The sequence below is a fragment of the Homo sapiens genome, chromosome 5 (genome assembly GCF_000001405.40).
Source record: "Homo sapiens chromosome 5, GRCh38.p14 Primary Assembly".
In the NCBI taxonomy this organism is placed as follows: Eukaryota; Metazoa; Chordata; class Mammalia; order Primates; family Hominidae; genus Homo; species Homo sapiens.
This window is the reverse complement of record NC_000005.10, coordinates 86,418,656-86,433,673: the sequence shown is the minus strand read 5'-3', so window position 1 is coordinate 86,433,673 and position 15,018 is coordinate 86,418,656. Positions and strand designations below refer to the sequence as shown.

The following is a 15,018-nucleotide window of genomic DNA, read 5'->3' as shown; positions in this document are numbered from 1 at the left end:
TTTTCTTAAAGGGATGATATATTGTCTTTAAAATGAAGCACCAGCTTGTTTACTAAATTACTTTACTTGTTTACTAAATTAATTTAATTTCAGCAAATTAATGATAAGGTATTTTGTGTCAAATTAAAATTTCCAGGAAATAGGGTCTTATAAGGCCATTACTGTCTACATCACCTTAGTTTTAGTCAAGTGTTCATGAAAGTGGTGAGCACTGATCAAAGGGCACAAAATATCTACGTAAAGAAATCTATTTTAAATCCATAGATTTCATTATAAAAAGGGGCACCTTATTTCCAGTTTAGGGAATTCCTATTGAGTGATCTGCATATGTACCAGTAAAACGCAAACCATTATTTAAATTTTTTCACAACTTTGGAAACTTTGCATTGTAAAACTTACAGAATATGATTACCAATTTTTATATTTTTTTTGTACAGAGTAGATTAGCTTAATAAATTGAACGCTAATGAAAAAAATTATGATTCTAGGCTAATTCCAAATTGAACTAGACAGTTTTTCTCTTTTATGTTTTGTAATTTTTTTTATATATTCTGATCTTTCATCAATTGTTCCTTTTGTATAATCTAAGCTTAAAAATGAAACTGGTGATTACTATATTAAAATGCATTAACTTTATAAATTGCTCTTCTTTTGTATTACCAATACTTTGGCTGTGCTGCAGGTGCATAAAGTATTTTATCTCAGTAAATCCTTTGGACCTTAAGGATAAGATCTTCCTGCTCCTGTTGATACAAACAAAGGACGTACTTTAGAAAGAAGTGACGTCCAGTAGAATTTTCTTCAATAATGGACATGGTATATATCTGTACTCTTCAGAACAGTAGCTACTAGCTGTATAGAGTTATTGAGCATTTGCAATGTGGCTGAGGGACCAAATATTTAATTTTAAGTAACTTAATTATATAGACACATAGTGGATATCATATTGAAAAATACAGTCTAAAACTTAATAAGTTGCCAAATACCTCTGAGCTTCAGTTTTCTTATTTGCAAAATGAAAATACTCACCCATGACTCTGTCACAGAAGTGTTTCAAAAATCAAATGAAAAGAGAAAAGTGTTCAAGCATATTTAGGAAGGGCCATGGATGGACTCTGGAACTGTACAGCTTAACTGTGAGTCTTGACTCTACTCCTTTCTAACTGTTATATATGCTTGAGCAAGATATGACAAGTATCTGTAAAATGAGAATAATAATAGTATCTAACTCACTGATTTTTGTGGTGATTAAATGAGATAACATATGCAAAGTCTTTTGAACAGTACCTAATATGAAATTGAGCCCTAGATAAATAGACATTATTATTCTTGTTATTAACAATGCAAACATGTAGAAAGCATGCTCTAATGTTTAGAGAAAGCTCAATTATCTCATCCTTTATTCAGTTTCCAAAATAGAAGAACTTGGCTAGGATTCAAGAACAAAATTTCATTCATAAGATTTTGTGGTGAATGAATCTTTGGTAGGATTGCAAAAGAATTAAATATCTTTGAATTTTCCCTCTTTGTTTTTACTGTTCTATGTGGCAGTTGTGTAAATTGGGTTTGAAAATAAAAATTCCATGTAGGGAAGCCTGCCTTTGCTTAAGAAGAAGAGGAGAAAAGAAGATATTGAATATTTCTGTATTATAATAAAATTGACAAGGGAAGAAATAACAAAAAAATGGAGGCTGATACTCTAGTAGCAACACAGTATGTATTAACCTTGTGTTGGGTGTCTAGCTATGACTTAGACATGGAATTCTGAGATCTCAAGTCCTGGCATTTTCTATTGCCTGTATTTTCCTTCAGAGGCATGACCAATAACACCAGGAGTACACAGGGTATTTTTTTTTTTTTTTGACAGGGTCTTGCCTTGCCATCCAGGCTGGAGTGCAGTGGCATGAATTTAAGGTTATATAGCTCATTGTAACCTCAAATTCCTGGGCTCAAGCAATCATTCAAACTCAGCCTCTCAAGTAGCTAGGACAACAGGCATGTGCCACCACACCTGGCTAATTTTTAACATTTTTTTGTAAAGATAGGAGTATTGCTATGTTGCCCAGGCTGGTCTTGAACTCCTGGCCTCAAAACACTCCTGCTTCCTTGGCCTTCCAAAGTGCTGGCATTACAGGTGTGAGCCACTGCCCTCAACATCTATACCATTTTGATTTTGCTGCTTTGGAAACGCTGATCCCAAAATTCATTTTCTTTTTCCTAGGACATGCCCAATATCTTCCTTTTTTTGAGACATTTATTTGGGTTAAGAAGCAAAGTCTCTTAAAGTAAGTACTTTAGAGAGAAGAATAAATCAAGATGTTTATTTGTAACTTGGTAAATATTCTGACAGCTGACTTGGAATGGAGATGATGGTGGCCAGATCGCTGATGGAGCCAGAGTAGGTGTCTAACTTGGAGAGGTATGTGTGGTAGGCAGAAGAGTGTTGAAGAAAGACTACCAAAACCATACCTTTTTACCTAGGACTGGAATATTTGACTTTTTCCCCATGATCTTCTGTACCATCTACAATTTGGATAGTGCTTTGCTTATACATTGAAAGTCACTATTTGGTATGTAATATGTTTATTCTATCACTGCCAGTTTAGATGGAGAAAAATACAGTAGAAATTCACGAGAAAGACTTGGACTTATAACTAAGGTTTACAGGCTGTTACCTGAGTAGAGTGTAATGGTCATTAATAAAAAATGCCACTATGTCCTACTTTAACAGGTATTTCCATATTCAAATTCTTAATCAAATCATGTTTTTGTAAAACAGACATACTCTTGATCTCAAATAAATGAAATATGCATTTATTTGAAAACATACAGTTCAGTTTTCAAAATCTGATATTTTTGTTATTTTAAAATCTGATATGAAAAAACCTTTAAATTAAAAAAAATACAGTTTTAGTTTTTTTTTTTTTTTTTTTTTTTTCTCCCATCAGTTGGAAGACACTGATTTTCTTTGCTGGAGGTGGAAATTTAAAAGAGTAATATTCTATTGTTACTTTTAAAGTTTAAGTCTAGGAAAAGTTGAGGTTTTGTTTTCCTTGAAGTATTGAACCACATTAAAAAAAAAAGCCCATCATTTCATTTATTAACTGTAGAAAGAAGACCAAAGGAAATTCACCAAGTAGATAGGTTTACCAGACTAAAAAATATAAAAGTGTAAAGAAAGTACTGCATATTGTCACATATCTATCTCCTTTTTAGACAATACATAAAACTTTACTTTTTAAATGCTTATGTGTACAGGTATTGTGCTAGATCTTGTGACCAGTAAAAAGATAACAAATAACAAAACTATAAAATTAACATAAATAAGATGAATAGCAATAAATATAAAGGCTATAAAATAAAATGTAGAATAAACAAAAATCTTATAAACGCCATAACAAGGATACTTCTGACAATTATGAAAGTATAAACAAGAAAGTGTTTCAATTTGAATGAGAGGGTTAGTTAATTTATTGTCTAGAAATGACATTTAAGTTGGTCCTTGAGAAATGTTAGAATTTTTATAGCAGTGATAATGGAAAGGCATTCTAAGTGGATAAAAACTGTGGTTAGAAACATAGACTGGAGAGCAGGGTATCTGAAACAATGCTGAGCCATTGTTTGCTAATAGTGGACTATGTAAGCAAGGCAGTGGAATATAGGCTAGAAGGGTATATTGAAGCCAAATTAAAGAAGGATGTGAAGGTTAGGCTAAGAAGTGTGATGAGCTTTATTTAGGTAATAGGCAATGAGGAGAAATTGAAACATGAAGGAACATAATTTGAGGTGTGATTATTTGAGTTTTTAAAATATTATCACTGTGCATCAGAATGGGTTAGGGAAGGCTTAAATCCTGGATGCTGGCTCAGCACCTATTAGAGCAATTAAAATGAGAAATGATGCAGACTAAACTAGAATTTCAGGTAAAAATGGGAAAAATAGGCGTTAAAAAATGGTATAAACGTTAAAAAACTACACTTGACTGAGTTAGAATATGGAGGAAAAGGAAGTATGGAGATCAAAAGAAAACATCAGGATTTGGGAGCTTGGACACAGGTAAGAGAAGTGGTCTGGGGATGGTAAGAGTCATGAGCCTACCACTTGGGGTCAGGGATAGGTCTAGCCATTTAGATGTGAAAACAGAAAGATAGTGCCTGAAGCATTGTCCTCATTCCTAAAACTTCCAGTGATGGGAACATTAAAACTAGTAGTAACCCAATGTTTCTGTCAAAAGAACATGAATTCAGCTCTGATATTGGGAACCATGTCATTGGAATGTATTTTACCCCTTCAAAACTAGTACAACGAGTCCAATGATAGGAAGTATATGCTTCCTTCTCCCCAACAACATTCTACTTATGATTTGACTGTGTAATGCTTAATTTTAGGTATCTACTTGATTGGATTGAGGAATGCCTAGATGGCTGAGGAAACACTGTGTTTGGGTGTGTCTATGAAGGGGTGTCCAGAGGAGATTGACATATAAATCAGTGGACTGAGAGAGGAAGCCCTGCCCTCAGTGTGGGTGGGCACCATCCTGTGACTGGTATCTTCAATGGGACAAACTGGGAAGGCAGATTTTCTTTCTCATTGGTCTCTTCCTCCCTTCTGGAGCTGGATGCTTTACTCCTCCTAATCTTGGACATCAGATTCCAGGTTCTTTGGATTTTGGACTCTGGGACCCGCACCAGGAGCCTCCTGGGGGCTCTTCGGCCTTCAGCCTCGAACTGGGGGTTGCACAGTGGGCTTCCCTGGGTCTCAGGCTTGCTAAGTGAGTCGCATTACCTCTACCGGCTTCTTTGGCTCCCCAGCTTGCAGAGGGCCTATTGTCGGACTTTTCCACCTTTGCGATCTTGTGAAATCTTCTCATACATCGTATTGGTTCTGTCTCTCCAGAGAACCAACAATGTGTTTAGTATCAAGCTACACAGAAGTTAGAGTTGAAGTCTGGAAGAAAGAAAAATCAGTGTAATGGGGAAAAATAGAGAAAAAAGTTAGTTAGGGAAAGCACTTGGAAGAATATTCGCATTCCATATGCAGTCATCATTTGTTAACTCTCTCCCTATGGTTCACTCTGACATAGTTCTAATACATAGTGGCAATATGTTTGGGTGTGATAATTCCAGCTCCAGCTTCAGCAGTGAATCTCACCTAATTCACTAGGCTCAGGTGATCCTCTTGCCCCAGCCAACTAGCTGGGACTACAGGCTTGTGCCACTGTGCCCAGCTAATTTTTGTATTTTTTAGTAAAGATGAAGTTTTGCCATATTGCCCAGGCTGGTTCTTGAACTCCTGGGCTCAAGCGATCCACCTGCTTTGGCCTCCCAGAGTGCTGGGATTACAGGCATGAGTCAAAGCTCCTGGCCTGTGAGTTCATTGAAGATGAAATTTCTTTTCCTGCTTTTTTTGTTAAGTTTACGGGTTTCAGGAAGAAGAATGAAGTAATCAACACCAGATTACATGCTTTGGAATTTATAAACACATTTGTGATAATCAAGAAAGTAGTTTTATTCCAGTAGTGGCGATGAATGCCAAATGGCAACAGTTTGAGGACTGATTAGGTTGAGTAAATGAAGGCAACATAAACATAATGTTTTCTCATATGTTAGAACCTTAACTTGATAATTTGGTAGATTAATTCTATGAGAAATATAAAACTGTGTCTTAACACAAGAAGTTGAGTTTATTAGTACACAGTTTATTAGTACTAGACTGTGCTTTTGCACAGTTTCCTCTGCCAAAAATAAAATCTCCCCCTTTATTCACTTGTTAAATTTTCATGCTTCAATATAGAGTGGAGAAAATTAAAATGATAAGAGAATATAGTTGATAGAATAAAAGTCTAGAGGAAGTAAAGAGACCTGGTTTACCTCCCGAGTTCAGAGCTGAATGTACCTTCCTCTAAAATTAATAACAAAAAAAGGATGGGAGAAGAATCATGGGCATTTTAAAATTGTGAGTAAAATGAAGGAATAACTACCTGAAGAACTCATTTTTGAAAATAATTTAAGTAGAATTATCTACACAAAATAAGGGAAATGGACAGCAGACTGGAAAGTAAAACAAGTAGTGGGTGCTGAGATGTGTAGGGAATAAAATTGGAACTCAGCTAGAAAAACATTAAAAGATATCTGATTAGAACTGAAAGCTTCTCCATGTTTAGGGTGCATGAATATGTAGTGAAAACAATTAGCAAATTTTCATGATTTTCTATAGCAACACCTGTGTAGAAGCAGTAGGGGCTAAACCATACTGCAATTTGTCATGGGGTTAAAATTGGCAGGTCCGATGTGTTGGAAGTGGTCACCGAGATAGATAATTCTAGGAAGCAAATAGAGCATTGTTGAAAGGAGTTACTGTGTCTTTCCAAACTGGATGGAAAGCCAAATGATGTGGCAATAATAAATGGGAAAATAGTGCTGTGTCAAATAATGAAAGTCTTAATGAGCTCTAAGTTGGCTGTGGGAAAGAAAGAAGTGACAGGATTTGAAAGTGATTTTGTGGAGAGTATGTAAATAGAGTCTGATGGTGGTGGCACAAGGGTTTGTAAAGAAATCAGAAAATATTGTTAGAGTTTTTATAGAGATTACAAACTAGTTTGGTAGGCAAAACATGTATATATATATATATATATATATATATATATATATATATGCATATTTACATATTTTACATATGATAATGATTATTTAAAAATTAGGTGGGAGGTACTGATTTTAAGTGTTCTTAATATTCACAGACAGGAAAGGTCTTGTCAAAGGAATTTGGCCTGGGACTGAAGGATAAGTCCATTTTAGTTAAATAGATGGAAAAAGGGATCTATTCTATGTGTTTTAGGAACACAATATGAACAAACATGGTTATGAGGAGAGACCAAACCAAACACTAAGGATAACGATGACAATGATAGTAATAACAACTTGTTATGCACTGACTTTACGTATATGATTTTATATAATCTCTATAGTAACCTTGTCAAATAGATATTACCCCAGTTTGTGCATGAGGACATGGAAACCTAGTACTTGCCTTAAAACATGGTAAGAGTACCAGAAATGAAATTAAGATTTGTCTGATATCGAAGACGTGTGCTTAATAAATAGGTTTTATTGCTTTTAAATATGGACCTACATGGCTATTTCAAGGATTGCTTCCCATTGATTATGGGGAAATGTACCCTTTAATTTGCTCTGTGAGTAGTTAAGTTCCCTTCCTATCCTACATTTCAGCCACCCTAGAGTTCTCTGTTATTCAAAGGCACCACATTCTCACATGTCCTGTGCTTTTGTTCTGTGCTTTTCTACTAAAAATTACCCTTACCCATTTATTCACCCATCAAACTCCTATACATTCTTTATTTCCTTGTGCCTTCTTTCAAGATCCAATTCAAACATATGTTTTGGTAAAGTTTTCCTTTACTAATCTATATGATTAATTATTCTTTCCTTTGTGACATATGTACAGACATGATGCTAATCACATTATATTAATTTTTTTATGTTTGCCTTTTCTTTTAGAATGTAAATTTCTTGAGAACACAGTCTTAGTCTTATTTATTTATTTTTTATTAAGAGGGAGTCTCACTCTGTTGCCCAGGATAGAGTGCATTGGTGCGATCTCTGCTCACTGCAACCACTGCCACCCAGGTTCAAATGATTCTTGTGCCTCAGCCTCCTGAGTAGCTGGAACTACAGGCATGTGCCGCCACACCTGGCTAATTTTTTTTGTATTTTTAGTAGAAATGGGGCTTCGCCATGTTGGCCAGGCTGGTCTCGAACTCCTGACCTCAGGTGATCCACCTGCCTCAGCCTCTCAAAGTGCTGGCATTACAGGTGTGAGCCACTGTGCCCCACCCATAGTCTTATTTATATTTGTGTCTTCAGTGTCTTATAGTGTCTAACATAAGTATTGCTCAATTAATATTTTTTGAATTAATGAATGCTCAAATGAAAGATAGGTAAGTTGGGACAGATTTATGAAAGGCAGACAAGAGTGTGGATTTATTGCATGGATTAGTGGTTGTCAACCTGTGTTCTGTTGCATCTATGGGGCCACTTCAACAGGGTTTTAGGCTTTTATCAGTGCAGAACTGCTCTTATATATTTTGCATAGTGAATTTCTATGTAAAATTTCATTCAAACAAAAGCTTCTATAGCCAAAAACTCTTCAGAAACCACTGAAAAGTGATAGAGCATTACAAATTTTTCAACAGGGGAATGACAACGTAAAGGGATTATTTCAAAGATAATTTGGCATAGACACTTCTAGACTCTCCTCTTCATCTGTGTGTGGGTACGTATATCAGATATCTATCTATTTATCTATCTATCTATCTATCTATCTATCTATCTATCTATCTATTAGCTATCTATCTATCATCTATCCACATCCACATGTATAATTTTAGATCTTATAAAATTCACCTAACTTAGGCTTGGCTGACTGAGGCTCTACACTTATTTAGGGGTGTTTCCTAGTTCTTAGGCAGATGTTCATACTCAAGATTGTGCTTTGATGTGAATGTTACATTGCTCAGTGGGGAGCTGCTCAAATCTGTTTCGCTACTGCATATAAGTGATTCAGAACACATACACTAAATGAAAGGTCTCAGTGTCTCAAGTGTTTTATCTACATGAGGCCAAAACCCCAGATATTGGGAGACATTTGGATCATTCAGTTTTCTCTTTTTCATATGAATGCTTTGGTGTCATGTAGACATTGCCTCAGTAGATATATCTTCAAGGATTAGATTTATGGAGTTCTCCGTAACAGGGAAGACCAGAGAGACCATTTATCTTGAGCACTTAGAAATGTAAATGTATTCTTGTTTAATTGTTTGGTTTCTGAACTTCACAAAGAACAGCTGGAGATAGAATTCTGTAATTCCTAATGCTAATAAACTGATATTGTGGATAGCTCTATGTTTATAAAGTGGTTATTATGTTCTATGGGATTAAATACGACATTTGTGTCTGTGCATGGACAGAATTAATCCTGAATGCAAATAATAATACAACAAAGTGTTTGGCCTTATATCCTGTCAAAAACACTCAGTGCTGTTAGTCATGGTGGTTAATTTTATCATAAAATATCTGTCGAAACATATCACTGTTCTTAAGATTCTAAAGGGTTATTTCAATTTCAGAAAACCAAGGATTTGAAATATTTCCCTTTCAGTTTCTAGGTAAACTGTGATTATAACTTTTTGTAACTCTTTAAATAATTTCATTTTTCTGGTAGAAATTTCAGAATGTTTTAGAGAGCATCAAAGTGATTTTTTAAAATGATATATAATAAATACAACTTCATTTCATGCCTGAAAACATCAGGTATCACGTAAATCCCTGAAACTCATTTTCCTATGTCTCACCATGTAACTACAATCTGGAGACGGAAATTACTATCACCCAATTAATTCTGAGTTACTAAGTGCAGAAGCAAGATGTAAATGACAAAATATTGAAATGAGAACTACTTAATTTCTTGTGATAGAAGCATAAGTAAAATGAATGTGTAAATGTTTCAGTAATTCTACATTCTTTTATTCATTTTACAAGTATTAAGTGCATGCAGTGCCAACACTGTTCTAAATCCTGAGAATTCTACAGGTCTGAATAAAATCCAGCCCCGAAATGTAAGATCGCAGATAAACAGAAGAGATAGACCCTTGCCTGTAAATGTGGGAGAAGCTCCCTTAAAGGAATTCCACTTAATTGAACTGTATGACATCAACTGATGCTGTCTGTTCCTACTGTGACATGTAATTGATAGTTTTCCATGGTGCACTGAGAGTTAGGTTAATTTGGGGATGTTTTCTGCATTCACCACCAAAAATAGTCTTACCTACTTAGCAGGAGAATGGACTATTTTTTCCCAATTATGTTTATACCAATTGAACTTATTTTTTTAAAAAAATACACATAAAATAGTGTATACAACAGAGAGACACAACTTTAATTATAATAATAAATGAAATATATATGTTCCCACTGGTTTAATAAATAGAGCAATACTAATACTTTACCACCCTGTGCTGTGAATTCTATCTTAATAATTGTATAATTTAAATATTATATAAATGGATAACATATGGATATAAAAGAAAAATAATTGTCATTTAAATGAGAACTTTGTAGAATGATTTGAAAATATTTGATAAATATTAGTGACTAAAATCATTATTGATTTATGGTACGAGTAAAAATCATGTAAAGACTGACAAAAAATATTAAATGTATCTTTCTTTAGAATATTTTATCTTTAATATGTCTTTCCACTTGAAGAGCTACTTTACAGTAATACTGAAAAAATAAGTTCAGTTGTCCCTAGACAGGTAAAACAAATTCCTGTTTCTTTATGGCATTTTGTCTTTTGTTAGCATTGTCAGTATGAATATGCACAGATTGTTGTATTATTTAATGTTCTGAATTTTTCTTGAATCTATCTCTTCTGTGAGTCTATAATAATGACAAAAAAGTAAACACCAGAAAGGGAAAAATATTTTTTTCTCAAAATTATTCAGTGATTCTTTAAATCTTAGAATTACAAGTAGGCGAGATGAGCTAAGTCAACAAAAACTGATAGACATAGATAAAAACAAAGCCCTTCAGATTATTTCAGGTTATTATTTTTGTGCCCTGTGTTTTACTTCTCAGGTAGCTGAGACAGACATTTTAGGAATGGAGAAAAATGAGAACTCTTAATTTAGAGACAAATAGAATATGAATATTTCAATTTTACTGATTTAATATTAGAAATACAAGCACTTTTAAATTCAAAGAAAAAGAGACCATAAAATATTTAAGCTTTGGGGGATATGCATTAAATATTTCTTGAAATGTTTCTACTGGAAATGAGATGTATTAAAATATTTCACTTTTAATGAAGAAATATACAGAAAATTAATTGAAAAAATTAATATGGTTTTTTAAATTGGTGATTTTAAAATGTACTCTAACATTAGAATTTTATTCATCTGTTTTCTTTTATGTTGTTGTTGTTATAGCAAACCAAACTGTATTTTATATGAATTTAGGGAGTACAATTTTCTTAAACAGAGTGAAAAGGAATGAAAAATTATTTAATCAGGTTCCACAATCTCTACTTCTGACTGACAGCAGAGCATTCTTATTACATGGAAATGCAGGGTGATTTATCTTTATTCCAGCAAATTGCTGAAAGGTTCACAATATATGTGAAAAACAGCTTTGTTATTCAGAGTAAAGTGGAAGAAATTGGAGATCCATACTTTTGAGTTTCTTTTCATCTTTTTGGCATTTTTAAAATTATATTTGCAGATTTTATGTCATGGCAGGTTTTCTATTATCTTTAACTTGAAAAAAAAGGAGATATGAGTATACTTTGCTGTACTTCCTTTAACTTTTCCTCTTTGAAGAAGTCGAATGCTAATGACATTACCCAGTACTGCCTGGTGAAGGTAGGGTAGGGGGTGTTTTACTGATTTAGATAGAAGGAGTAATCAGTCATGTGCCTTGAATAATCAGTCATGTGCCTTTTTCAGTCACTAGTTTATATTTAATCTTTTGGGTTTCGTGTCTCTAATTTGTAAATTATTCAGGCTTCTGAATTATATTCTGGCTTTCTTTTTCTGAATCATTTTACTATTCATTACCATCTTTACTTGGAAAAAAATCAAACTAGATTCTTTTAATCTTTGTTTATGGCTATAAGTGGGAAAATGTTTGGTATGAAGTTGGATTTAAACTACTGGATACATTTAGCTTTAGAAAATTCATCAGTTGCCACTGGTCTTAAGTCAAACTTCTTGGATAACCCCATCCAATATCACATGGTGTCAGTTTCTCATTGCCTATGATACTTATGTCTGTACCTTTGGCTTAGATCTCTTTTCCATGCTGTAGAACCACATATCCAGCTATCTTATGGACAACTCCACCTGTATGTCCAACACCAGCTGTAACTCAGTATGTTCAACACTGAGTTTCATCTCCTCTCCTTATATATTTCACATCTAGTCACACAACCATTCATCCCAAGTCCCCAGAAAAATATGAATATATGTATATGTATATATGTCCCCAGAAAAAAAATATATATGTATATGTATAAAATCTTAGATATATATATTCCTCACAGTATATATATACAGTATACATATATTCCTCACAGTATATATATATTCCTCACAGTATATATATACACAGTACATGTAGTATGTATAGTATATATAGTATATATAGTATATAGTATGTATAGTATATATAGTATATATAGTATATAGTATATATAGTATATAGTGTATATAGTATATAGCATATATAGTATATATAGTGTATATAGTATATAGCATATATAGTATATAAAGTGTATATAGTATATATAGTATATATAGCGTATATAGTACATGTAGTGTATATAGTATATATAGTATATATAGTGTATATAGTATACTATGTAGTATACATAGTATATATAGTATATAGTGTATATAGTATATATAGTATATAGTGTATATAGTATATATAGTATATAGTATATATAGTACAGTATATATAGTATATATACTGTATATAGAGTATATACAGTATATACATATTATATATAGTATATATAATATATATAGTATATAGAGTATATATAGTATATAGAGTATATATAGTATATAGAGTATGTATTGTATATATAGTATATGTATACAACATATACTATATAGAGAGTATATAGTATATATAGTATATAGAGTATAAAATATATATAGTGTATATATATTCCTCACAGTATATATATAGTGTATATACATTCTTCACAGTATATATAGTATATATAGTATATCAATTATTCCTCACAGTATATATACAGTATGTATGTGTACTGTATACATACTCTATATAGTATATACTGTGTATATAGTATATACTGTATATAGTATATATGTATACTGTATATATATACTGTGAGGAATAATATACATACTATATATACTGTGAGGAATAATAGATATACTATATATACTGTGAGGAATATATATACTATATATGTAATATATATAGTGTATATGTATACTATATATAATATATAGTGTGTGTATATATACTATATATAATATATATACTAGATATATGCTATATATACACTGTGGGGAATAAAATATACTATATAATTTATATACTCTGTATACTGTGAGGAATAATGTATATACTATATATATACTGTATATATATACTGTGAGGTATATATATATATAGGAACATATATATATATATAGGAACATATATATATATAGGAACATATATATATATATATAGGAATATATATATATATATATATATATATATATATATATATATATTCTCCAAATTAACCTAACTCTCAGTGCACCATGGACATCTATCAATTACATGTTACAGTAGGAACAGAGAGCATCAGTTGATGTCATACAGTTCAATTAAGTGGAATTCCTTTAAGGGAGCTTCTCCTACATTTACAGGCAAGGGTCCATCTCTTCTATTTATTTCAGGGCTGGATTTTATTCAGACCTGTAGAATTCTCAGGATTTAGAACAGTGTTGGCACAGTATGCACTTAATAAATATATATATATATATATATAATATATATATTTATATATATACTGTGAGGAATATATATATACTATATATATATACTGTGAGGAATATATATATACTATATATATATACTGTGAGGAATATATATATACTATATATATATACTGTGAGGAATATATATATATACACTATGAGGTATATATATATACTATGAGGTATATATATATATACTGTGACATATATATATATATACTGTGACATATATATATATATACTGTGAGGAATATATATATAAATATATACTGTGAGGAATATATATATAAATATATAATGTGAGGAATATATATATATATACACACACACATGCACATACATATATATAGATAGATATGGTCTTAGTCAAACCTCTTCTTGGATAACCAAGAATATATATATATATATATATATATATATATACACACACACACACACACACACACACACACATATATGTACACATATATATATACACACACATATATATACATATATATATGTGTGTGTATATCTATATATATTCATTCCTCACAGTAAACTAATGTTAGGCTGGGCATGGTGGCTCACATCTGTAATCCCAGCACTTTAAGAAATGTATATATGTATATGTATAAAATCTTAAATGATCACACACCCTAATCTATATATGTATATGTATATAACCTAATGTATATATGTATATGTATAGACCTGATGTACATATGTATATGTGTAATCTAATGTATATATGTATATGTATATTACCTGATGTATATATGTATACGTATAAAATCTTAAGTGATCATGCACCCTAACAAAACTAATGTCCCATATATTCCTCACAGTAAACCAATGTTAGGTTGGTCATGGTGGCTCACAACTGTAATCCCAGCACTTTAAGAACGTGAGGCAGGAGGATCACTTAGACCCAGGAGTTCAAGGCCAACCTGGGCAACATAGGGAGACCCTGTATCTACATAAAATAAAATAAAATAAAATAAGATAAAATGAAATGAATATTTGGACATGGTGGTGGATGCCTGTGGTCCCAGCTACTTGGAAGGCTAAGATGAGAGGACTGCTTGAGCCTGTGGGCTCAAGGCTGCAGTGAGCAGTGATCGCACCATTGCACTCCAGCCTGGGTGAGAGAGACACCTTGTCTCAAATAAAGCAATAAACAAGAAAGAAAAAAATCTCCTTAGCTTTTATAACCTCCATTTTATAGGTGAGTAAACTTGTCTAAGGCTCAGACTCAGACTTATGTGAGGTGATATAGTTAGTGAATGACAGAGCTGAGGATCTAGAGCTATTTAATGTCCATATTCTTTGTTCCACATAGACTGACTTAATTTACAGTTCTTTTGACTTTTGATTTCTTTACTCAATCAGCTAACTTGTCTCCAACTAGACTTTCCAGAAGGAAGAGAATCCAAATGAATATTTGAAAGAGAAGTAAA

General features: G+C 32.4%; 1 long non-coding RNA gene across 3 annotated transcripts in view; it reads left to right on the top strand.

The window, feature by feature from the left end:
* Nucleotides 1–3,455: 3,455 nt before the first annotated feature.
* LOC105379064 (uncharacterized) overlaps nucleotides 3,456–15,018 on the top strand; it is a 77,685-nt gene continuing 66,122 nt past the window's right edge. For 2 of the 3 annotated variants that reach the window (XR_948537.3, XR_948535.3), the window contains exons 1-2: nucleotides 3,456–4,056; nucleotides 8,213–8,292. This is a non-coding gene — a long non-coding RNA (uncharacterized LOC105379064). The remainder of the gene's footprint in view (nucleotides 4,057–8,212; nucleotides 8,293–15,018) is intronic. The other variant, XR_001742789.2, reaches the window with a different exon arrangement.